We start from the raw sequence: 23695 nt of genomic DNA, 5'->3' as shown, positions 1-23695 counted from the left end.
TCCACTGATACTTACATGTGAAATTGGTCTGTCGTGTGTGTGTGCGTGATATCTTTGTTGATTTTGGTATCAAAGTTATGTTTACTTTTTAAAAAGAGTTTGGAAGACTTCCATCTTTTTTGTGCTCTGGGACAGAATTAATAGCATTTGAGTCAATTACTCATTTGTGTGGAATTTTCTTGCAAGACATGGAGGGCTTTTGTAACTTTTAGGGGTGAAGGTGAAGGTGAAAGTGGGCCATGGTGGTAGCAAGGATAGTTCTTTGATAAACTTCTCTATTTTTTCTGTGGTAACGGTTTGCTTAAATTTTGTCTCTTCCAGGATCTATTTTGATAAATTGTATTTTCTTGTAACATCATCCATTTCATCCAGAGTTTTAAGTTCACTTGAAGTTAAGCAAAATTAGCATCTTACAAATCTATAATTTGTTTCCTGTGTCTGTGATTTTCCCCTGCTTGTTTTTTAAATCATGTCAAATGTGCATTTTTCTCTATTTCTGATTAGATAACTATTTTATTTTTTGTGAACCTGTGGGTTTATTAGTCCTTTGACACTGGTTTCCTGAATTCATTTATTTATTCCTTTATCTTCCCTAATTTCTCCCTCCTGCTTTCCTCATGAAGCATCTACATGTAGTGTTTACAGTTTCTTTATTCTCTAGATGTTCCTCAGTTTGCTCTTTGACTTCCTCTTTTTCCCAATAGTCAGTTAGAATACCTGTTTTAAGCTCAGGTGGTTTAAAGATTTTCACTTTAGCTTATTTATTTTTTCATCCCTGAGAGCACTAGAGAATTGTGTATCCTGCTGTCCATCCGCATTTGGCTTCTTCCCCAGGGTTCTTCTCCCAGAAGGTGACGAGAGCGAAGAAACCCCACGGGATGCAGGAAGAAACAGTGACAGGCAACCAAGAGGGGGAGGATGGAGAAAACCCTTGCCTTAGTCAGAGCAGGCCCCAGGGGACGCAGAAACAAAGGCCACACCCCCACGAGCACGTGGCCAGACTGCCCAATCGTCGCTACTGAAGCCGGGCTCTGGTCTTTGATTGGTGTTCGTGGAGACGCCCTCACATTCTTGGATCAGCCCAAAGGTAGGCTCAGGCTCCGACGGTGGCCGGCGGGGGTCACGAGGCTTCGTAGTGGAGGAACGGGTTTGGCGTGTGGGACGCAGCTGCCTCTGTACTGGGGAGTCACGGAGTGGCCGGGCTCCAGGGACATGGCGGCGGCCTCTGCGGTGTCGGTGCTGCTGGTGGCGGCGGAGAGGAACCGGTGGCATCGTCTCCCGAGCCTGCTCCTGCCGCCGAGGTGGGTGGAGGGGCCATGGCTCAGTGGGCAGAGGCGGGAGCGAGGGGTGCACGGACCCGCGTGAGCGGTGGGAGGTGCGGCGGAACCCAGGGTCGGTGTGGGGAGGACGGTAGGAAAACCCCAGGCACTTTCGGAGGGGTTCTGCCGGCAGTCACGGCGTCGGGAGGAAGACATCCCCACCAGCCCTTCCCTTTCTCCCCGCTTCCGCACATCCACGCTTCAGCGCGCCTTTGGCTTCTGTTTTTCCATTTCTGAGGACTGGGCCCGCCATCCTCCAGGCTCCCCTCGCCGTCGCTGCAGCTCGTAGCCGTTTACATCGGGCTTTCGCAGCACCCCTTAGGTGGGAGCGTTGTTATAATCCGGTTCCGGGGAAGCCCAAAGGGATCAACGACTTCCTCAACGAAACACAGCTAGTAAGAAATGGGGCCGGGATGCCCTCAAAGCCATTTTTCAGTTCAGCTGTGCCCCATCAGGTGTCCAGTTCAGAGAAAGACTCCTGGAGTTCCTTCTCATTGTTAGAAGAGTGAAGTTGTCAAGAAGAGCAAATGTACCTTCCACAGAGCTGGGAAATTATTTTGTCAAAAACTCTTGTACCCAAGTTTGAACAACGCTATCAGATGACTCAGTCTAGCTCACCTGACTCCAGCTCTGTTTCAAATTTTGAGCTCTAAGCTTTGGTGGCAATAACTCTGGCAGTGAAAAAACCCTCAGGCTTGTAGATAGCTTTGCTTCTTTGTCTTCTTTTGCTTCATCGTTATCATCCTTCATCATTCTGGAAAGATTGACAGTTTAGTGTTCAAGGGCACAGACTCTGCAGTCAAGGCTGAGGTCTTAGTTAGCTACTCACTAGGTGTGTGACTTTGGGTAAGTTACTTAATATTTCTTCTTTAATTTCCTCACCTTGGAGATGATACGAGTACCTTGGGTTGTGAAAACTAAATGAATTAATTCATGGAATGAGGTTTAAGCACAATCTGGTACATAAGATCAGTCTATAAATGCAAACTCAACCATTTATATGAACGTTTGCTTGCTTTTATTTTCCAGAAATATTGTAGATGCCCTTTTTAGTTACTTAATTGTAGGAGTGCCCCAGAGAAACATAAGAAAGTTGTTGGAAGTTGGCGGGGCGCGGTAGCTCACGCCTGTAATCGCAGCACTTTGGGACGCCGAGGCGGGCAGATCACGAGGTCAGGAGATCGAGACCAACCTGGATAACACGGTGAAACCCCGTCTGTACTAAAAAATACAAAAAATTTAGCCGGGCGTGGTGACACGCGCCTATAGTCCCGCCTGTTAGTCCCAGCTACTCGGGAGGCTGAGGCAGGAGAATGGTGTGAACCCAGGAGGCGGAGCTTGCAGTGAGCTAAGATCACGCCACTGCACTCCAGCCTGGGCGACAGAGTAAGACTCCGTCTCAAATAAAAAATAAAAAAATAAAAAAAAAAGTTGGTGTAAGTAATGTTAATGTTCTTCTTGTTCTTCTGGTTTTTCTTTTCTTAGGCCTCCAGGGCTCTTCAGGATAGTACCATAGACCCATTTCCTGTCTTCCCTTTCAAAGCTTAGCTATTGTCTAAAGAACTATCCTCAAGTATGTCACTCTGGAGAGTGTTAGAGTTGTTAATGGCTTATAGAAGTAAAACTCTTTGCCAGGAGACTTGGTTCATGCCTGTATTTTCAGCAGTTTCTCAGCACTGTGGGATCCAAGGTGGGAGGATTGCTTGAGTTCAAGAGTTCAAGACCAGCCTGGGCAACACAGTGAGGCTTCATCTCTACAAAACATTAAAAAATTAGCCAGGCGTAGTGGCACACACTTGTAGTCACAGCTACTTGGGAGGATGAGGAGGGCGAGGACGGCCTGAGTCCAGGGGTTCCAGGCCGTAGTGAGCCATGATCACACCACTGTACTCCATCCTGGGTGACATCCCATCTCAAATAAAACAAAAACAAAAAAATCTTAACAGCACAGATAGTTTACATTATTTTTATGTTATGAATCTTTAGTAGCTCACAGAAAATAATCTCTGGTGGCAGAATTATAGACATGACAATAAGCTGGTATAGAGCTACCTTGAATCAGGGAAGCAGCTTCTTTTTTTTTTTTTGAGACGGAGTCTCGCTCTGTCGCCCAGGCCGGACTGCGGACTGCAGTGGCGCAATCTCGGCTCACTGCAAGCTCCGGGGAAGCAGCTTCTTAATCTTGTTTAAGCCATTGCTTTTAAGTTGCAGCTTAGATAATTGTGAAAAATGGAATAGATGATCAGAACATTGTTGGGATAGTGGATTACAGTTAAGTGGGATCTCTGTCTCTTTCTCCCTCTTTTTCCCTCTCTCCCTTCTTCTGTCTTCACTAGAAGATTGCAAAAGAAAGCTTTAGGTCAACAGTAGCCTTGAAACCGAATCAGTCTTAAGCTAGCTTTACCAACAAGCAACCATTTAATAGATACATCTGCCCAGAATAGGCCTTGAAACTTATCAGAAGCCTATCTGAAGAATGTAAAGGGAAGACGATGCTATGAGCTAGAAAATACCTCATAAAGATCAGGAAAGATGATCCCCCTCCTTCAGGATCAAGAAGGTAACATCAGCTGAAATGGAAAGGTGTGGGAAAGCAGCAGCCTCGTGAGGAAGCTAGCTCACGGAACTCTCCTGCCAAAGCTGTGGGTCTTCCCAGCAGCTCCTCATGGATGGCAGCATCTGAGTGTGCATTGTAGGGCAATGAGTGTATAGACGCATATAGATGTGTAGATGTCTACTGCATCTCCGCTCCAGTGAAATACTAGTCCTGCTCAACTACATAGTCATATACATAATATGTATATACTACTGCCTAGTTACATAGTTTCTAATGCACACGCTGTGCTTTTATCTTGTGCTTTGTGAATAATCTAAAATGGTTAGTTAGTCCTTTATAACCACATCTTCCAGGTATAGACAAAAAGATAGGTGGAATTGCTTCTGTAATTTGTTTGTTTCCCTGCATATGCTTTTTATTTATTTATTTATTTTTTTTTTTGAGATGGAGTCTCACTCTGTCACCCAGGCTGGAATGTAGTGGCACGATCTTGGCTCACTGCAACCTCCACCTCCCAAGTTCAAGTGATACTCCTGCCTCAGCCTCCCAAGTAGCTGAGATTACAGGTGCGCACCACCACACCTGGCTAATTTTTGTATTGTTAGTAGAGATGGGGTTTCACCATGTTGGCCAGGCTGGTCTCGAACTCCTGACCTCAGGTAATCCCCCCACCTCAGCCTCTCAAATTGCTAGGATTACAGGCGTGAGCCACTGCACCCAGCCCACTTATCCTCTTTAGCTGAAACTTAATAGACGTTATACTTTTTTGTTCCTAAAGTGAATCTGGCCTGTTTTCTGTCAGCTCTTGGTTACTTTATTTTATACACAGGTATCACGAAACTTAAAAATTGTTGAGACTTCTACCTCATTAAAATACCTCAAGTCATTTTGTCTCCCCATTTCTCCATTTTTTTAAATACAAGGACTTGGAATAGAATTGTATAGTACTTTTAAATCTGAGAGGTACCTTCAAGATCACCTCTTATAGTCTCATCTCGTGTGTGAGAACACTGAAGCCCAAGCTATTAAATCTTGCATCCTCAACTGGGATGATACCACCGCTAAAGGGTGGAAATTGATTCTTAGGAGAGCCAGGAAATCTTAGATTTTGTCATGGTTTACGGCTTTCCAAAGCTCAACCTTACCCCACCCTTCCTACAAGGAATAAAATCTTTTAAAAGTTTTCTCATTAGGAGAGTAATAATGAAAAAAAAGTTGGAGAAACACTGATGTAAAGTGACTCGACCCTGGGCAAGCTGGTCATTGGAGGGACTCGGATGAGAATGCAGCTTTTCTGGTCCCACAGCCAACATTCTTTCTGTTGCCCCTGTTTAACTTCCGTTTATTTCTCTGGTCTTACTTTTTAAACATGTCTCATGTTTAAACTTGATTGGTATTTTTCAAACTGTAGATTGACCAGCATATTTTAATAAAATAGGATACAACTGAAAGAACCAAAAGAGTTTTGTTCTTTTTGTTTTTGTTTTTTTTTTTGAGACGGAGTCTCGCTCTGTCACCCAGGCTGGAGTGCAGTGGCCCAGTCTCGGCTCACTGCAAGCTCTGCCTCCTGGGTTCACGCCATTCTCCTGCCTCAGCCTCCCGAGTAGCTGGGACTACAGGTGCCCGCCATGACGCCCGGCTAATTTTTTGTGTTTTCAGTAGAGACAGGGTTTCACCGTGTTAGCCAGGATGGCCTCAATCTCCTGACCTCATGATCTGCTTGCCTCGGCTTCCCAAAGTGCTGGGATTACAGGTGTGAGCCACCGTGCCTGGCCAGGGCAGAATGAGTCATTTTTAACAAAACATCTGTTTTCATTAAGTGTGTGTCCTGGGTAGTTTGTATTGTGAGTTGTAGCCAAAAAGGTTTCAAAAAAGCTAAACTAGATGATGTTGGTATACCTTGGTTGTTTAATCATCTCTGACTGTGGTCTTATGCCAGCCTCAGGAACAAGCAGGCTAGGTGACTCATTCAAGGACAGGTAGTACGAGGGAAAACAGCCAGAACTCTAACTCTTGAGTTCTAGATTAGTTTTCTACCCACTAAGAAAGTCTTACTAAAGCACTGTTAGTTGGCTTAAGGTTTCATGTTTTAAGAAACTGAAATTCTTTTGAAAGAACAATTGTGTTGCCTATTCTGTTTAATTGTAATTCCTTTTGGATTTATGTTATAGGACATGGGTGTGGAGGCAAAGAACCATGAAGTACACAACAGCCACAGGTACTGACAGACTTTGTTGTTCTATTTGATTTTGCTTCAGACTGGAAGTGTTTAAGAAAGGGAAATGTTTAATCCCTTAATATATGCATAATAGAATTAGTTATCATAAATTTTGGATTTTCACGATAATTTTCTAGGAAGTGTTAAGTCATGGTTTTCACCTCTTTTGTATCAAATCTCTCTTGCTGTTAAGTCTAAAATACAGAGGGCAGCCGGGCGCAGTGGCTCATGCCTGTATCCCAGCACTTTGGGAGGCTGAGGTGGGTGGATCACCTGAGGTCAGGAGTTCGAGACCAGCCTGGACAACATGGCAAAACCCTGTGTCTACTAAAAAATACAAAAATTAGCTGGGCGTGGTGGCGGGTGCCTGTAATCCCAGATGCTTGGGAGGCTGAGGCAGGAGAATTGCTTGAACCCAGGAGGCGCAGGTTGCAATGAGCCAAGATCTCGCCACTGCACTCCAGCCTGGGCGACAGAGCAAGACTTCGTCTCAAAAAAAAAAAAAAAAAAGTAAAAATAAATAAATAAAATACAGAGGGCAATAATGGAGAACATTTTATATTCGTTTGTTCTTTCTGTCCATTTGACCCTCTTAGTGTATTGGATTGGAAAATCATAACTACGATGGTCTAAAGCAGTTCTTTGAAAAAGCTATTTTAAGTAGCAAAACCTTTTTTTCCAAATAAAATTTAACATGGAATTCCCAACTATGAAACATATAAAAGTGTAATAAAGTATAACTTCTAGCTGATTGGATATAGCCCTCTACCTACTGTGCTCTCCTTCCCCTGCCCACACTCATACATATGTCATCCATCAGCCCCTGTGACAACTCTTGGGCTCCATAGAGCCCCATCGAAAAACACTTTTAAATTAGGTGCAACCTTTTTTTTTTTAAAAGGAGAAATAACTTTATTATGTTGAGCCTATGGATTCTATTGAAGAAATAACTTTATTATGAACTGTCAAAGAACATTTATTTCACGTGTGATATTAGAAGTACATTTTATATATGCAGTAGCTTGTCATTATGGTGCCATGCCAGTAGACTGGTACAAGAGTCACTTGTGTTGCAAGAGAACCACACACACCTATGTACATAGGGATAGAGGCAGAGGAGCAGAGTGACTGAAAGCTTAAATTCTGGAGTGACGCAGATCTAGGTTGAAGTCCCAGATTGTTTCTTTAGCTGTGTAATTTTGGGAAAATAATAGCTCTTTCAGCATTAGTTTCTTCATCTTTAAAATTGAGATAACAATGATAGTATCTATTTCATTAGGATTATTGTGAAAATTTAAGTCGATGTTGAGTCTTTAGCACAGGACCTGAGGCACAGAAAGTGCTTATTAAAGATTAGTTAGTATTGGCCGGGTGTGGTGGCTCACACCTGTAATCCCAGCACTTCGGGAGGCCAAGGCAGGTGGATCACCTGAGGTCAGGAGTTCGAGACCAGCCTGGCCAATGTGGTGAAACCCCGTCTCTACTAAAAATACAAAAATTAGCCAGGCGTGGTGGCAGGCACCTGTAATTTCAGCTACTCAGGAGGCTGAAGCAGTAGAATTGCTTGACCCTGGGAGGTAGAGGTTGTAGTGAGCCGAGATCACACCATTGCACTCCAACCTGGGGGACGAGAGCAAAACACTGTCTCAAAAATAAATAAATAAGTAAATAAATAAATACATAAAAGAGTAGTTATTAATGATGATAATTTAACACTATTATAATTTGATCCTTGGCATAACAAAGCATCTTTTAATTTTATTTTATGTTGCTTTGTATTTTAAGTTTAAAAAGCTGAGTAATTTATGTTAATGAGTACCTTGAATTTAAGAGAAAAGAAGTGCACTGTCTAATATTAGTTAAAGTGGTCATTTTGGGCTCAGTTATGCTAGTTTTACCAAAAACCTTGAACTTATCAGTCGAGTCCTTATCAGCCAGTTAAGATCGTATTCTCATTCTCATTCTTTGCTCTCCAGTAACATTTCTGTGTGATTTTCATGGTGTTTTAAACAGGAAGAAACATTACCAAGGTCCTCATTGCAAACAGAGGAGAAATTGCCTGCAGGGTGATGCGCACAGCCAAAAAACTGGGTGTACAGACTGTGGCGGTTTATAGTGAGGCTGACAGAAATTCCATGCATGTAGATATGGTATGTGTTAAAAATTGGAAGCCACGTCTTACGTTTATTCGTTTACTGTGTCAGTATTTTCGTTCTTTATGATGACAGTTGATATTTGCTAGTGTTATCAGGGTTGAAGTAGGTAAGTTCAAACTGCTCACTGCTAATTCTTGGGAACATTTTTCAGATATAACATCAGTTGAACTAAGCGGTGTGCTTAGTAGAACAGTTGATTTACAGGCAAGGTCTTTATCTCCTTGAGGATTGGTTAAAACGGTTCACAGAATGTTGCGGATCCACTGACTACACTTTGAGTAGCTCATGTCCAGATTCCGTATATACAAGGAGAAAGATCCAGGCTCTATTCTTTTTTTTTCTTTTTTTTTTGAGATTGAGTCTCGCTCTGTTGCCCAGGCTGGAGAGCAGTGGCACAATCCCGACTCACTGCAAGCTCCGCCTCTCAGGTTCAAGCGATTCTCCTGCCTCGATTCTCCTGCCTCGACGTCTAGAGTAGCTGGAACTATAGGTGCCCTCCACCACGACCGGCTAATTTTTTGTATTTTTAGTAGAGACAGGTTTTCACCGTGTTAGCCAGGATGGTCTCAATCTGCTGACCTCGTGATCCGCCCACCTTGGCCTCCCAAAGTGCCAAACAGGCGTGAGCCACCGTGCCTAGCCAATCCAGGCTCTATTCTTAGCACCTGCTACTTACTGGCTGAGTGATCTTAGCCAAGTCACTTCATGTTTCTGAGCCTTGCTTCATCTGTAAAATTATAACTAATAAGACCCAACTCCCTGAAGTTTGTGAATGTTACGGGTGAGTTATTACTAGTTTTTTTTGTTTTGTTTTGTTTTGTTTTGTTTTTGTTTTTGACAAGAGTCTCACTCTGTTGCCCAGGCTGGAGTGTAGTGGCGTGTTCTTGGCTCACTGCAACCTCCACCTTCCAGGTTCAAGTGATTCTCATGCCTCAGCCTCCTGAGTAGCTGGATTACAGACACACACCACCACGCCTGGCTACTTTTTTGTATTTTTAGTAGAGACAGGATTTCACCATGTTGGCCAAAATGGTCTCGAACTCCTGGCCTCAAGTGATCCACCCACCTTGGCCTCCCAAAGTGCTGGGATTACAGGCGTGAGCCACTGCGCCCAGCCTATCACTAGCTTTTATCCACCAGAAATAACTCCAAGCATAGGTGACTCCCACTGTTGGACTTCATTATGCCTGCAGTAAGACTCCAAGCACTAGCATCAATTCATGATGAGCAGCCTCACCTGGGCTTTTATCACTGTACAGCAGGCCCTTGTGGCTCTCTAGCCACTGTTTTTCTCACTCTGTGCAATGAGTATTTCAAACTTGTTTCGCTTCATTCCAACCTCCAATTCTCCCTCTACCCACCTTTTTGCAGCAGGATGATCTTGATTTCACAGAGAAAATAAAATTGAGGTTCCTGCCACAGAATCTGCTGACTTAGTTATGTCTGCATCCATCTTTCCCATCGAAGGTCAGTGCTCTGGATCCCTTCTCTTCTTGTCTTTTTAAGAATTTTCCCGGCTGGGCGCAGTGGCTCACACCTGTAATTCCAGCACTTTGGGAAGCCGAGGCAGATGAATCACCTGAGGTCAGGGTTCGAGACCAGCCTGACCAACATGGAGAAATCCCGTCTCTATTAAAAATACAAAATTAGCTGGGCGTGGTGTCACATGCCTGTAATCCCAGCTACTCGGGAGGCTGAGGCAGGAGAATCGCTTGAACCCGGGAGGCGGAGGTTGCAGTGAGCTGAGATCGTGCCATTGCACTCCAGCCTGGGCAACAAGAGCGAAACTCTGTCTCAAAGAAAAAAAAAAAAAGAATTTTCCCAAAATAAGAGAGTAAATTTTAAATGTCTTACCATGAAAAAATATTAGGTAAGTGAGATGATGCCTAGGTTAATTGGCTTGATTCAATCATTCCACATTGTGTGCATGTGGCAAAACATCACATTGTACCCCATAAATGCATACAATTATGATTTGTCAGTTAACAGTATTAATAAAACATAAAGCAAAATGAGACATTCCTGTGTCAAAAAGAAAAGGATCTTCTATTTTTCAATGATGGGTCTTCAACCACTCTCTACTAGACTGATACTATCCATGTCCCTAAATCCAGTGGAGTCTCCAGGGCTGAGCTGACTTGACCCCTCAGCAGCATTTAGCATCCTAGTACACTGCTCCCTTCTTTTAGAAATAAATTCTTCTCATGGCATTCTCAGCCTCTTGCCTTCTTGTCTTCTCTCAGTGTCCTTTATCTGGACCCTACCCATCTACCAGACCCTACCCATCTACCAGACCCTTATGTTGAAGTTTCTTGGGACTTGGTCCTTGGCCCTCTTTTCTCAGTGTGCACTCTCATTCTGGATCATTTTATATACTCCTATAGCTTTGAGAAAAACTCCCAAATTTCTATTTTTAGTCCAGACTTTCTTTTGAGCATGATACATATATATCCAACTGCCCATTCAACATCTCCACTTCAATATTGTCACAGGTACCAAACTAGTGTGACTGAAATTGAACTCATGACCTTTCACCTATACTGAACCTGCATTTCTTACAGAATTCCCTAACCCCGTAGAGTACAACACCATTGCTAATAAAAACAATAATGTCAGAGATCTAGAAGTCTTTGAGCATTTTTCTCTCTTCTTTCCTACTCTAGATCCTTCCCCCCTCATCTAGTAAATGACCAAGTACTGTTAATTGTATTTCCCAAACATTTCTTTCCACTTCTTTCCACCCCCTCCCACCTATAACTTAACTCAAAGCCACAGTCACCTTTTTTTTTGAGCCAGGGTCTCACTCTGTCAGCTAGGCTGGAGTGCAGTGGCACAGTCACAGCTCACTGCAGCCTCAACCCCCCAGGCTCAAGCAATCCTCCTACCTCAGCCTCCTGAGTAGCTGGGACTACAGGCACTTGCTACCATAGCCGGCTAATTTTTAAAATTTTTTGTAGAGATGATGTCTCACTATGTTGTCCCAAAGCGCTGGGATTATAGGGATTATAGGCATAAGCCACCATGCCCAGCCCCACTATCACCTCTTGCTTGACCAAATGCTGCAGCCTCCTAAGTAGCCTCTCCACCTCCACTCTTAACTGTCCCCCACCCCCAGCCAACAATCTATTTTCTGCTTTTCAGCCAGACTGAGAGTATAAAATAAAAATGTACTTAAGTTACTCCTCTTCTTAAATGCTTTAAACCTTTATAGGGTGCACCAGCTTATCAGTAATGTAAAAGGTGGATAATATTCAGTGTTGATGAGGGTGGTTAGAAACTGGTATGTTGATGGAAATATATATTGGTAAAACCATTTCAAGGCTGATTAACCAGGAGCTATTAAACTATGCATATCCTTCAACCCAACCCTACAAACATTCCTGTAGGTTTCTGTCCCACAGACGTGCTCACATATATTGTGCTAAGAGAAGCGTGTACAGGAATGTCTGCTTTAGCCTTGCCTGCATCCAGTTTTTTGCCGTTATAACCTAAGTGCGCATTAAGAGATACATGATTAAATGAACTATGATACTGCCATACTATGGAATAGTTTGCAAATGTTATACAAAATGAGGTATAGACATGTGTACTAGCAAGAAAAAGAGTTCCCAAGACATACCGTTAATGGAAAAAGCAGTTGCAGAAGATAATTATATAGTATGATCCTATTTATGTAAAAACAAGAACTAAAACTGCATGTGTTTATATAAACATATATGACTAGTTAGGAATATGGATATGGAACAATATGTCCCAGGTTTATTATAGTGGATGTTCTATCTGGAAGGAGACTGCAATGGGGGGAGTACCAAAGGGCTACTTTGCGTTTGTATTATAATTCACTTTCTTTAGAATGAGAATAGATTTGTGTTTTGTGGAGTTAAAAGTAAAAAACAGGCTGGGCACCATGGCTCACGCCTGTAATCCCAGCACTTTGAGAGGCCCAGGCAGGCAGATCACCTGAGGTCAGGAGTTTGAGATTAGCCTGGCCAACATGGTGAGGCCCTGTCTCTACTACAAATACAAAAATTAGCTGGGCGTGATTGTGTGCACCTGTAATTCCAGCTACTCGGGAGGCTGAGGCAGGAGAATCGCTCGAACCCGGGAGGCAGAGGTTGCAGTGAGCCGAGATCGCGCCACTACATTCCAGCCTGGGCGACAGAGCAAGACTTACCTCAAAAAAAAAAAAAAACACACAACAACAACAACAACAACAAAACATTTAAAATGGTCTCTTTGTGTGCTCCCTTAGGAGAAAGCCCAAAGCTTTTTAACCTCTCACAGGCCCTTTGAAATCTGTGCCCAGCTTTCTGTCCAGCATCCTCTCTGGCCCCTGGACCCCTTGCTCATTGTGTTCCAGCCACACAAGCCTTCTTCGGTCACTCAGCTGGACCAGTTTTCCTCCCACCTTTATGTAGGTTGTTTTCTGTGCCTGAGAGCCTCATCCTCAGCTCCATTCCTGTTCTCAGCTCCACATTCTTGATCTGTTTGCCAGGCAAAGTCTTGATCATCCTTTTTTTTTTTTTTTTTTTTGAGAAGGAGTCTCGCCCTGTTGCCCAGGCTGGAGTTCAGTGGCGCAATCTCGGCTCACTACAAGCTCCGCCTCCCTGTTCACGCCATTCTCCTGCCTCAGCCTCCCGAGTAGCTGGGACTACGGGTGCCGACCACCACGCCCAGCTAATTTTTTTTTGTATTTTTAGTAGAAATGGGGTTTCACTGTGTTAGCCAGGACGGTCTCAATCTCCTGACCTCATGATCCGCCCGCCTTGGCCTTGCTGGGATTACAGGCGTGAGCCACCATGCCCGGCCAGTCTTGATCATCCTTGAGGAGCCTCCCCTGACTTCCCTTCTAGGCATTTCCTGATCACCTTCAGACCAGATCAGGCCTTCCTCCTACAGCATTTATGCCCTTGGTTTTTCCTCCATGACGTTCATCACAGTTGTCATTAAGTGTGTGAATGTATTTTTAATGTCTGTCTCTCCCCCTAGACAGGGACATTTGTCTTGTTCACTATGGTACAGGCAGCTCCCACCTCAAAGTGTGGCACGTAGTAGGCCTTCAGTAAGTCTTGGAATGAATGAATGATGTGCTCTAAATGGTCTACTTCAAGGGATGCTATGATTTTGTGTAAGTTTTAAGGAATAATATAAAATAATTCACAAATGTATGAAAGCATTATCATACTCTGATAATTATATAAACTTTAATCAACTTTGTAAGCTTTTTTCTTTGTGTACATCTGTCACATATTTTGTTTCTATTATCAAATATAAATTTTTGGCCTTGAATACATTTAAGGTTATTATTGTTTTAGTAATAATATCATGACTAATGTCTGTTGCTTTTTATCCTGAGACACTTTAGTTTCACACCAGTGTGTGGCTTATGCATGAAAACCAAGTTTTGTTACCCTCTTCATGCAAAAGATTCTAAGACTGGCTTATTTTTATAGTGTAGACATACATTGGTACTTCAGTTTTTCAATTCTTGCACTGTTCTTGAGGGAGTGGCATTTTTATTTACAATAATAAAATGACCCTGAAGCAGTTCTGTATAGTGTATGAGTATGTACTAGCCACAAAGTCTTTTAAGCATGTGATGTTTCTTAAACAGGCAGATGAAGCATATTCCATCGGCCCCGCTCCCTCCCAGCAGAGCTACCTATCTATGGAGAAAATCATTCAAGTGGCCAAGACCTCTGCTGCACAGGTGAGGGTTGTGAAGAGATTTGCAGTGCAAAAGGAATACGTTTTGTGCAACTGATGCAAAGTTACTTATAGAAATTTTCTATTTTTAGCCTTTCCCAAGATCTTTACATTTGATTATTGGATTATCATTGTAAACTAGGCATGTCCCATCTCATTTCTCAGCCAGTCTGCCTTTTTACTGGATCCTGTGTACTTTAGATCCTTTGGGAAATAGGTGGAAAGAGGGTCTAAATTACAAGTTAAAATTAGGAGAGAATTCAGCTCTTCTATCCTCAAAACTACAAGCTCAAATCCTTTGGGAGAAATAGGTAGGTAGGGCTCTGAATTACAAGGTAAAATATAAGCAAGAAAGAAATATATTTCCACCCCAACTTCCCAGTCTCATTCTAGGGCCACGTAGGGAACTTAAGGAAGACGATTCAGGCAAATGGAATTGCCAAGACTCTGAGATGAAAACAAGCTTGGTGTTCAAGGGAGAAGAATGTTCAGTGTGGTTGGAGTGAAGGCAGTAAGGGGCTGTGTCATTCAGGTATAGTCAGTAAAACCAAAATTCCATTTGACGTTTCAGCAGAAGGAACTTAGTTTAGGAATTAGTTCCACCAGTGTTAGAGAGCTGAAGGCAGGGTGGGGATGTTGAAATTACCCTTTAATAATAACAGAAATTGAAAACCACCCTTTGGGCTGAAGGAGAGACTGGGGGAGGGACTTTCTGCAGCTGTTCTCAGATCTGTGGAGGGGCCCTGCCTGGCTGCCGAGGGCTTAATGAGGCTGGTTCTTGGAGTTCCAAAAGAACCTGAAGACTGGAACCAATGGCCGCTTCCCGGCGGTGAGGAGAAGGAAAGCTTCCTTGTTCAAGTTTCCCTACAGTGACCCCTACTGGTGAAACCTAACAGGAAGCCCACTGGCAAACAGGCAGAGCCCCTTCACAAGGCACCACGTAGAAGGCTGGATTTGCAGCTGGGAGAACCATCTTACAGGAAGAAAGTGGTAGGAGACGATGGAGCAGAGAGAGGTAGGGGTAGCATCATTTAGAACATTCTTTTTTTTTTTTTTTTTTTTTTTTAAAGACAGGGTCTTTGCTCTGTTGCCCAGGCTGCAGTGCAGTGGCACAATCATGGCTCGCTGCAGCTTCCAACACCCAGGCTCAAGTGATCCTCCCACTTCAGCCTCCCAGGTAGCTGGGACCACAGGCGCATGCCATCACACCTGGCTAATTTTTTATTTTTTGTAGGGATGGGCTTTCTCCATGTTGCCCAGGCTGGTGTTGAACTCCTAGGCTCAAGCGATCTGCCTGCCTCAGTTCCCAAAGTGAGAACATTATAGGTCTTGATAAGGAGTTTGTATTTCATTCTGAGTAGCCATTGGGAGGTTTTTTAAAGCTGGGGAGTAAAGCCATCTGCTTTACTTTTTAATAAAATCGCTGTGGCTTCTGGGTGGGGAAATGGATGATTGAAGTGGGGGCAAAGGTAGGGACAACAACATTGAAAGAAGGCAAAACAATTAAAAGTAAATTGCCGTAGTGTTGCCCATCACCCTCACCTGAATTCCTTCTCCTTAGAAATTCTTCGTTGTCTCCTCTAGCACATTGATCATTCCGCATTTGATTTCTTGTTCTAGTCATATTTATACTTAATTAGTGCTTTGTTTAACGAGTTTAATGTAGATGTTGGCTCCTCCATAATTCCTTTGTGCTTTCCTAAGGGAAGAACTCATATCTGACACCTTTTTATTTTTTTAAGCATACCTCCTAGCAACCCAGTGAGCTTGTACATAGTCCTCAATTTGTTTTTATTTTTGTTTTTTGAGACAGGGGTTCACTTATCATCCAGGCTGGAGTGCAGCAGTGAGGGTTCAAGCAATCCTCCCACCTCAGCCTCCCAAGTAGCTAGAGCTACAGGCTTGCATCACCATGCCCAGCTGATTTTTTAAATTTTTGTAGAGATGGAGCCTCCCTGTGTTGCCCAGGCTGGTCTCAAACTCCTGGCCTCAAGTGATCTTCCCACCTCAGCCTCCCAAAGTGTTGGGATTAAAAGTGTAATCCACTGCGCCCAGCCAAGTCCTTAACTAAATTAGTGAATATGTATAGTTGTTTTGTATTGATGTATCTCTTCTTTAGAATAGTGTTCTTAAACTGAATAGGTATTAATTTATACAAATGCATATTTAAAATATGCTTGTTTATGAAGCTTTTTTGGTTACAGCTTGAAGTAAAAGGTCCTTAGGAGGGTAAGGAGATGATAATAGTACGTGGAGATATACATATGTATCTCACATGTCCTTAGGAGTTCAGGCCCTTTAACATAAATATCAGTTTGTGCATTTATCATGTATTTAAGCATAAATGCCATGGTAGTATTACCTTCATCTTATGGGCATAACATCTAATGCACAGAAGGTTGCATGATGTTATTCCAAAGCATCTAAATCTTGCTACTCAAAGTGTGGTCCATGGACAGCAGGTTTGACATTATGAGCTCGTTAGAAATTCAGACTTTTAAGCTGGACACAGTGGCTCACATGTGTAATCCCAGCTACTCAGAAGGCTGAGGCAGGAGGATTGCTTGAACCCAGGCCAGCCTGTAGAAGATAGCAAGACCCCATCTCTGAATAAAAAACAATAACAGCCTTTAAGTCCTACCCTAAACCCACTGTAATTTGCATTTATGCAAAATTTGCATTTTTATCAAGATCCCCCAGTGATCTGAAATCAAAACTTGTCTAATCATTGAAAGAGAAAGGATTAAACAAGAGTATTCTGACTCCCAGCCCCATTCCCTATTCATTGGACCAGACTGAGCAGTAGAACTTTCTTGCCCTGCATTTTGGAAAAAGGGAAGGTGTTGTTTAATTAGAAATTTTTATTAATTAAAAATTACTTCTTGTAGGCCAATGAGCTTCCTTTTTGTTTTATTATTGCTTTCTTTTCTAAGCTGCCTCCTGAAGAATTGAAAATCCACTTTCTTTTTAATGACCATTTTTCTGAGACCATTTTTTAGTTTAAATAAGAACCTTCTAGCAAATGTATGATATGCTAATTCCAGGGACTTTATCAAGCTTGTACCTATTTAGAATAGTATCATGTTAGTTGCTGTAACACAATGAGAAAGGAATAATACTTATTTTGAAGTATATTTCAAAGAATGTTTGAAAAGAATAACATACTTTCAGACAGTATTTTTAAAAGAATAAAATATTTTCAAAAAATAATCATTTTGCCTGGATATTGAAGATTTGGGGTGGCTTGCAAAAATTAGTGGTGAAAATAAAGGATAAAAGAGCAAAAGCCAAGTAACATGAGTGAATGAACATTGGAATTAAATCAGAAAATTTAGCCTAAGTAAAGCTGTTTAGCTCTTTGGGGCAGACCTGATCAGAAAGGAAATTTGGTGGGTTATAATTTACAAAGTTCTCCTCTAATAAAAAGATACTTGCCGATTAGGAGAGCAAACCTTCCTTTAATGTTGACTTTAAAGAAGAAACTTATTGGCCATCTAGTAAAGGACATTGAATAACACTTGTATAGTGATTTGAAAGAAGTTTTCTAAAAGTCTAGAATTGTTCTTAATGTGGCCATTTTGACATACTTTTATAGAAATTAAAGTAAAATTTACAAGTGAGCTAAATTTCTGGTGATGTCTGGTGATATGGCTATATTGAGAAACTCAAGAAGATGTAAATATTTTTTAGGCTAGCCTTTTTTTTTTAAGACGTTGTCTCACTCTGTCTCCCAGGCTGGAGTGCAGTGGTATGATCATGGCTCACTGCAGCCTTGAACTCATGGACTCAAGTGATCCTGCCACCTCAGCCTCCCAAGTAGCTGTGATGGGACTGTAGGCACACGTCACTATGCCCAGCTAATTTTTTGTTTGTTTGTTTGTTTTTGAAACAAAGTCTCACTGTGTTTCCCAGGCTGGTCTCAAACTCCTGGGCTCAAGTGATCCTTCTCTCTTGGCCTGCCTACGTGTTGGCGTTACCGACGTGAGCCACCGCCCTGGCCACACTCGTTCTCTCGATTGCCAGTTGTCTTCAGTCTTCTCTGGTTGGGAAAGAGGTTGTAGTTAACCCTGTCTGCAGATTAGAACCACCTGAGCTTTTAAAGAGACTGTTGTACTGCCTTGCGGAAGAGGCCTAACTGTAAGGAAGCATAAAGCAGTCTCTGGAATGCTTGTGATGTTTTGATTCTTGAGTTGAGCACTGGCTGCACAGGTGTATTCAGTTTAAGTAAACAATGGACTTAAGAGCTGTACACTTAGGGCAAATGTGCTTTTCTATATGTGTATTATACTTCAGTCCCCTCAGTTATCTGAAGTTGCTCCTGAGCATGAATGTTTTATAAAAGTGCTCCATTTTTTTTTCATGTGCTACCAAGAGTTAGGAACTTTATTACAGGTACTTGAAAATCACTGACAAGTAACTTAAATGCATATAGCAAGTCATTTACTGAATACAGCTACTCTGTGGTTGACCAAAAGGAAACCCATATGTTTTAAGTATCACAGACGAAGGTAGGAAATTCTTGGTGTCCGGTCCCAGGGTCTGTCCAGCCCATGCTGATGTCTGAGGAGAGTGTGTGGATGAGCAGAAAGAACACTTGGGGGGCCGTAGGCAGGTGAATATGGTTTTCTTCAGCAGCAGCTCTTATTAGCAGCTTAGTTAGACTAGGTCTCTCATACTGTTCACCTTTATCTTAGCTGTCTGCTCTGGCTCTGTGGTTCCTGCCACTCCCATGCCCGCAGCTGCACAGCTGGCTCTCCCTTGCCTTCAGGGTCAGCAGCTTAACTCTTTCTCTCTCTGGGCATGAGCAAGCCAAGCTGTGTCCTGGCTCCCACCTGTCCGGCTGCAAGATGGACAACTTTGGCACTCTCTCTGGGTGCCAGTGCTCCCACCATGTCAAGCCATGTTGAGCCGAGTTGAGCCCCAAGAGCCCCTGAACAGCATTAGCAGGGCAATTATACCTTTTACAGACAATAGTGGCATATGAGCTTACACAAACAGGTTATATAACAAGTGCAGTATGTGCCTGTGCCCTAAATTTGCTGAGTCATGCAGGTCTGGATGTCCACCTCAGCCTATTCCTTGACCAAAGCACATCTATGTACCTTACACTTGGTAATAAGAATTTAAAGACCATGACTTGTCCGCTTCACCATGGAAAGGACACTTCTCATTTTTGCTTGAAGGCAGAGCCAGTTTTTTGTCAAACTCTGCTTGAGGGTAGAACCAACAACTTTGCTTGTGTGTGTCTTCTTGAACAAGTTACAGAGCAAAGTAAATACAAACTAAAAGGTTGGAATAAATTATTTTGGCAGAGATTTAAGGAGGACAAGAGATACTAGTTTTCTGTGTTTACTAATAAAGGCATGTTAGTACCGTGCAATGAACAATCTCAACAGGTTTGCAATCCTATGACCCACCAGGGTGAAGTGGCAGCTCAATACATGCCTGAAGCAAGGGAATTAGCCCGCTGGTAATAGTAGTGGTGCTGTTGTTTTCCCTTTTAATCCATTCAAATGCTCAAGAACATCATGGTTTGGTTATATTAAATTGTTCTTCCTAAGAGAAATTAGTTAAACTTCTTAAGGCTGTTCCCAGAGTGTACGACTGAATTTTATTTTCACAAGGAGATGGCTCCTTTTGTTTTTAGTTATTGATATGGTTTCGCTGTGTCCATACCCACATCTTATCTTGAATTGCAACTCCTACAATTCCCACGTATTATGGGAGGAACCCGGTAGGAGGTGATTAAATTATGGGGATGGGTCTTTACTGTGCTGTTCTCATGATAGTGAATGAGTCTCATGAGGTCTGATAGTTTTAAGAAACAGGAGTTTCCCTGCTCAAGCTCTCTCTTTGCCTGCCGCCATCCATGTAAGTTGTGACTTGCTCCTCCTTGCCTTTCCACCATGATTGTGAGGCCTATCCAGCCACTAAACCTCTTTCTTTTGTAAATTGCCCAGTGTCAGGTAATGTCTTTATCAGCAGCATGAAAACAGACTAATACAGAAAATTGGTTCCAGTAGAGTAGGGTGCTGTGAAAAGATACTTAAAAATGTGGAAGTGACTTTGGAACTCGGTAACAGGCAGAGGTTGGAACAGTTTGGAGGGCTCAGAAGAAGACAGGAAAATGTGGGAAAGTTTGGAACTTCCTAGAGACTTGCTGAATGGCTTTGCCCAAAATGCTGATAGTAATGTGGACAGTGAAGTCCAGGCTGAGGTGGTCTCAGATGGAGATGAGAAACTTGTTGGGAACTGGAGCAAAGGTGACTCTTGTTATGTTTTAGCAAAGACTGGCAGCATTTTATTCCTGCTGTAGAGATTTGTGGACCTTCAAACTTGAGAGAGATGATTTAGGGTATCTGGCAGAAGAAATTTCTAAGCAGAAAAGCATTCAAGAGACGACTTGGGTGCTATTAAAGGGATTCAGTTTTATAAGGGAAGCAGAGCATAAAAGTTCAGAAAATGTGCAGCCTGACAATGTGGTAGAAAAGAAAATCCCATTTTCTGAGGAGAAATTCAAGCTGGCTGCAGAAATTTACATAAGTAACAAGGAGCCCAACGTTAATCCCCAAGACAATGGGGAAAATGTCTCCAGGGCATGTCAGAGGTCTTCATGGCAGCCCCTCCCATCACAGGCCCGGAGGCCCAGGAGGGAAAAAATGGTTTTGTGGGCCAGGCCAGACTGCTGTGTACAGTCTAGGGATTTGGTCCCCTCAGTCCCAGCTGCTCCAGCTGTGATTAAAAGGGGCCAAGGTACTACTTGGGCTGTTGCTTCAGAGGGTGGAAGCCCCAAGCCTTGGCAGCTTCCATGTGGTGTGAAGCCTCTGGGAGCACAAAAGTCAAAAACTGAGGTTTGGGAACCTCCGCCTAGATTTCAGAGGATGTATGGAAACTCCTGGATGCCAGGCAGAAGTTTGCTGCAGGGGTGGAACCCTCATGGAGAACCTCTGCTAGGGCAGTGCAGAAGGGAAATGTGGGGTCAGAGCCCCCACACAGAGTCCCTATTGGGGTACTGCCTAGTGGAGCTGTGAGAAGAGGTCCACTGTCTTCCAGACCCCAGAATGGTAGATCCACCAACAGCTTGCACCATGTACCTGGAAAAGCCACAGACACTCAACACCAGCCTGTGAAAGCTGCCAGGAGAGGGGCTATACCCTGCAAAGCCACAAGGTTGGAGCTGCCCAAGACCATGGGAACCCACCTCTTGCATCCATGTGATCCAGATGCGAGACATGGAGTCAAAGGAGATCATTTTGGAGCTTTAAGATTTGACTGCCCTGCTGGATTTCAGACTTGCATGGAGCCTGTAGCCCTTTTATTTTGGCCAATATCTTCCATTTGGAGGCTGTATTTAACCAATGCCTATAACCCCATTGTATCCAGGAAGTAACTAGCTTGCTTTTGATTTTACAGGCTTATAGGCGGAAGGGACTTGCCTTGTCTCAGACGAGATGTTGGACTGTGGACTTTTGAGTTAATGCTAAAATAAGTTAAGACTTTGAGGGACTGTTGGGAAGGCATGATTGGTTTCAAAATGTGAGGACATGAGATTTAGGAGGGATGAGGAGCGGAATGATATGGTTTGGTTCTGTGTCCCCACCCAAATCTCATCTTCAATTGTAACTCTCACAATTCTCATGTATCGTGGGAGGAACCCAGTGGGAGGTGATTGAATTATGGGGGCAGGTCTTTCCTGCGCTGTTCTCATGGTCATGAATGAGTCTCATGAGAGCTGATGGTTTTAAAAATGAGTGTTTCCCTGCACAAGCTCTCTCTTTGCCTGCCACCATCCATGTAAGACATGAATTCCTCCTCCCTGCCTTCCGCCATGATTGCGAGGCCTCCCCAGCCATGTGGAACTGTGAGTCCAATAAACTTCTTTCTTTTGTAAATTGCCCAGTCTGGGATATGTCTTTATCAGCAGTGTGAAAACAGACTAATACAGTTATGAAAGAAGAGCATTTATCTAGTACACCAAAAAGTTCCATCAAATTCAGAATCTGTTAAAGGAGACTAGTAACAAACACTCCGGAAATGAAATTAAGGAAACAGTTACATTCACAATAGCAATCAAATAGTTAGGAATAAAGTTAGCAAAAGCAGTTCAAGACATATTTACTGAAAACTATAAAACATTGCTGAGAGATACTAAAGAAGTTCTAAATAAACAGATATTTCATCAGAACACTCAATATTATTAAGGTGGCATTATATATTTAATGCAGTCTTTATAAAAATCCCAGCAGGCTTTAAAAAAAATAGAAATTGATAAGCTAATCCTAAAATAGCCAAAAAGCCTAATATATACCTAAAACAATTTTTGAAAAGCTTATGTAACTATTTTGTAGGATTTAGACTCTGTTTCAAAACTCATTATGCCAGGTGCAGTGGCTCACACCTGTAATCCCCAGCATTTTGGGAGACCAAGGTGGGCAGATCACTTGAGGTCAGGAGTTCAAGACCAGCCTGGCCAACATGGTGAAACCCTGTCTCTACTAAAAATACAAAAATTAGCCAGGCATGGTGACAGGTGCCTGTAATCCTAGCTGCTCAGGAGGCTGAGGCAGGAGAATCGCTGGAACCCAGGAGGTGGAGGTTGCAGTGAGCCAAGATCATGCCATTGCACTCCAGCCTGGGAGACACTGCGAGGCTCTGTCTCAAAATATATATATAAAGCTACAATAACCAAAACAGCGTGGTATTGGTATAAGGATAAAAACAGGTCAGTAGAACAGGATAGAAAATCCAAAAATAAACTCACATATGTAGTCAATTGATTTTTGAATAAAGGTGCTAAAGTAATTCAATAGAGGAAAGGAGAGTTTTTCAACAAATAGTGCTGGAGTAATTTGACATCTCTTTGTAAAAAGATGAACCCGAAGTCTAGATCCTAGACTCTTGCCTCACACCTTAAACAAAAAAAATTAACTTACAATATATCACAGACCTAAATGTAAGAGCTAAAACTATAAAACTTCTAGAAGAAAACATAGGAGAAAATCTTTGAGACCTTGGATTAGGCAAAGATTTCTTAGACATAATACTATAAGAAAGGTTCACGAAAAAAAATGATAAAATTGACTTCAAAGCTTGAAACTGTTGCTAGGAAACCTAATTTTTTAAAAAAATGAGCAAAATATTTGAATAGATCCTTCACCAAAGAAGTTATACAAATGACCAGAAAGCCCATTAAAAGATGTTCAACATATTAGCTGTTAGGGAAATACAAATCAAAACCTTGGTGAGATACCACTTCATACTCACTAGGATGCTATAATCAAAAAGAGATGATAACAAGTATTGGTGAGGACTTAGAGAAATTGGAACCCTTCTATGTTACTGATGGGAATGTAAACTGGAGCAGCCACTTTGGAAAACAGTTTTGCAGTTTCTCAAAACGTTAAACATAGAGTTACTTTATGAACTAGTAACTCTACTTCTTCAGTATATACCCAAAAGAAATGAAAACACATCCGCACAGAAATTTATACCTGAATGTTCATAGCAGCATTATTTATAGTAGCCAAAAAAGTAGGAACAATGCAAATGTCTATCAACTGATGAGTGGATAGATAAAATGCAGTATAGCCATACAATGGAGTATTATTTTGCCATCAAAAAGGAATGAAGTACTGATTTGTGTTAAACAAAAAATGGATGAACCTTGAAAATATTACGTTCAGTGACAGAGCCAGTCACAAAAGACTGCATGTATTATATGATTCCATTTATATGAAAT

The 23695-nt window shown here is 42.4% G+C and overlaps 1 protein-coding gene across 13 annotated transcripts in view, besides 1 other annotated feature; it reads left to right on the top strand.

Moving 5' to 3' along the window:
• Positions 1-23695, top strand: part of MCCC1 (methylcrotonyl-CoA carboxylase subunit 1) — a 100979-nt gene that overhangs the window by 15544 nt on the left and 61740 nt on the right. For 3 of the 13 annotated variants that reach the window (XR_007095707.1, XM_047448587.1, XM_047448590.1), the window contains exons 1-4: positions 1066-1301; positions 6048-6094; positions 8108-8244; positions 13865-13960. Coding sequence is in view for 10 of the 13 variants with exons in the window: in XM_047448587.1 (XP_047304543.1) it covers positions 1213-1301; positions 6048-6094; positions 8108-8244; positions 13865-13960 (369 nt within the window). In the remaining 3 variants the exon portion in view is untranslated. Of the gene's footprint in view, positions 1-1065; positions 1302-1409; positions 2166-6044; positions 6095-8107; positions 8245-9695; positions 9718-13864; positions 13961-23695 lie in introns of those variants that run through there. The other 10 variants (NR_120640.2, XM_011512992.3, XM_047448586.1 and 7 more) reach the window with 8 other exon arrangements.
• Positions 1092-1231: an enhancer, noted in NCBI's record as "active region_20884". NCBI's record gives its function as "activates an Ori minimal core promoter by ATAC-STARR-seq in GM12878 lymphoblastoid cells {active_cell/tissue: GM12878}" and the evidence as "EXISTENCE:reporter gene assay evidence [ECO:0000049][PMID:35858748]".

This window comes from Homo sapiens, chromosome 3 (genome assembly GCF_000001405.40).
Source record: "Homo sapiens chromosome 3, GRCh38.p14 Primary Assembly".
NCBI classification, from domain to species: domain Eukaryota; kingdom Metazoa; phylum Chordata; class Mammalia; order Primates; family Hominidae; genus Homo; species Homo sapiens.
This window is presented reverse-complemented; position numbering and strand designations above follow the sequence as displayed.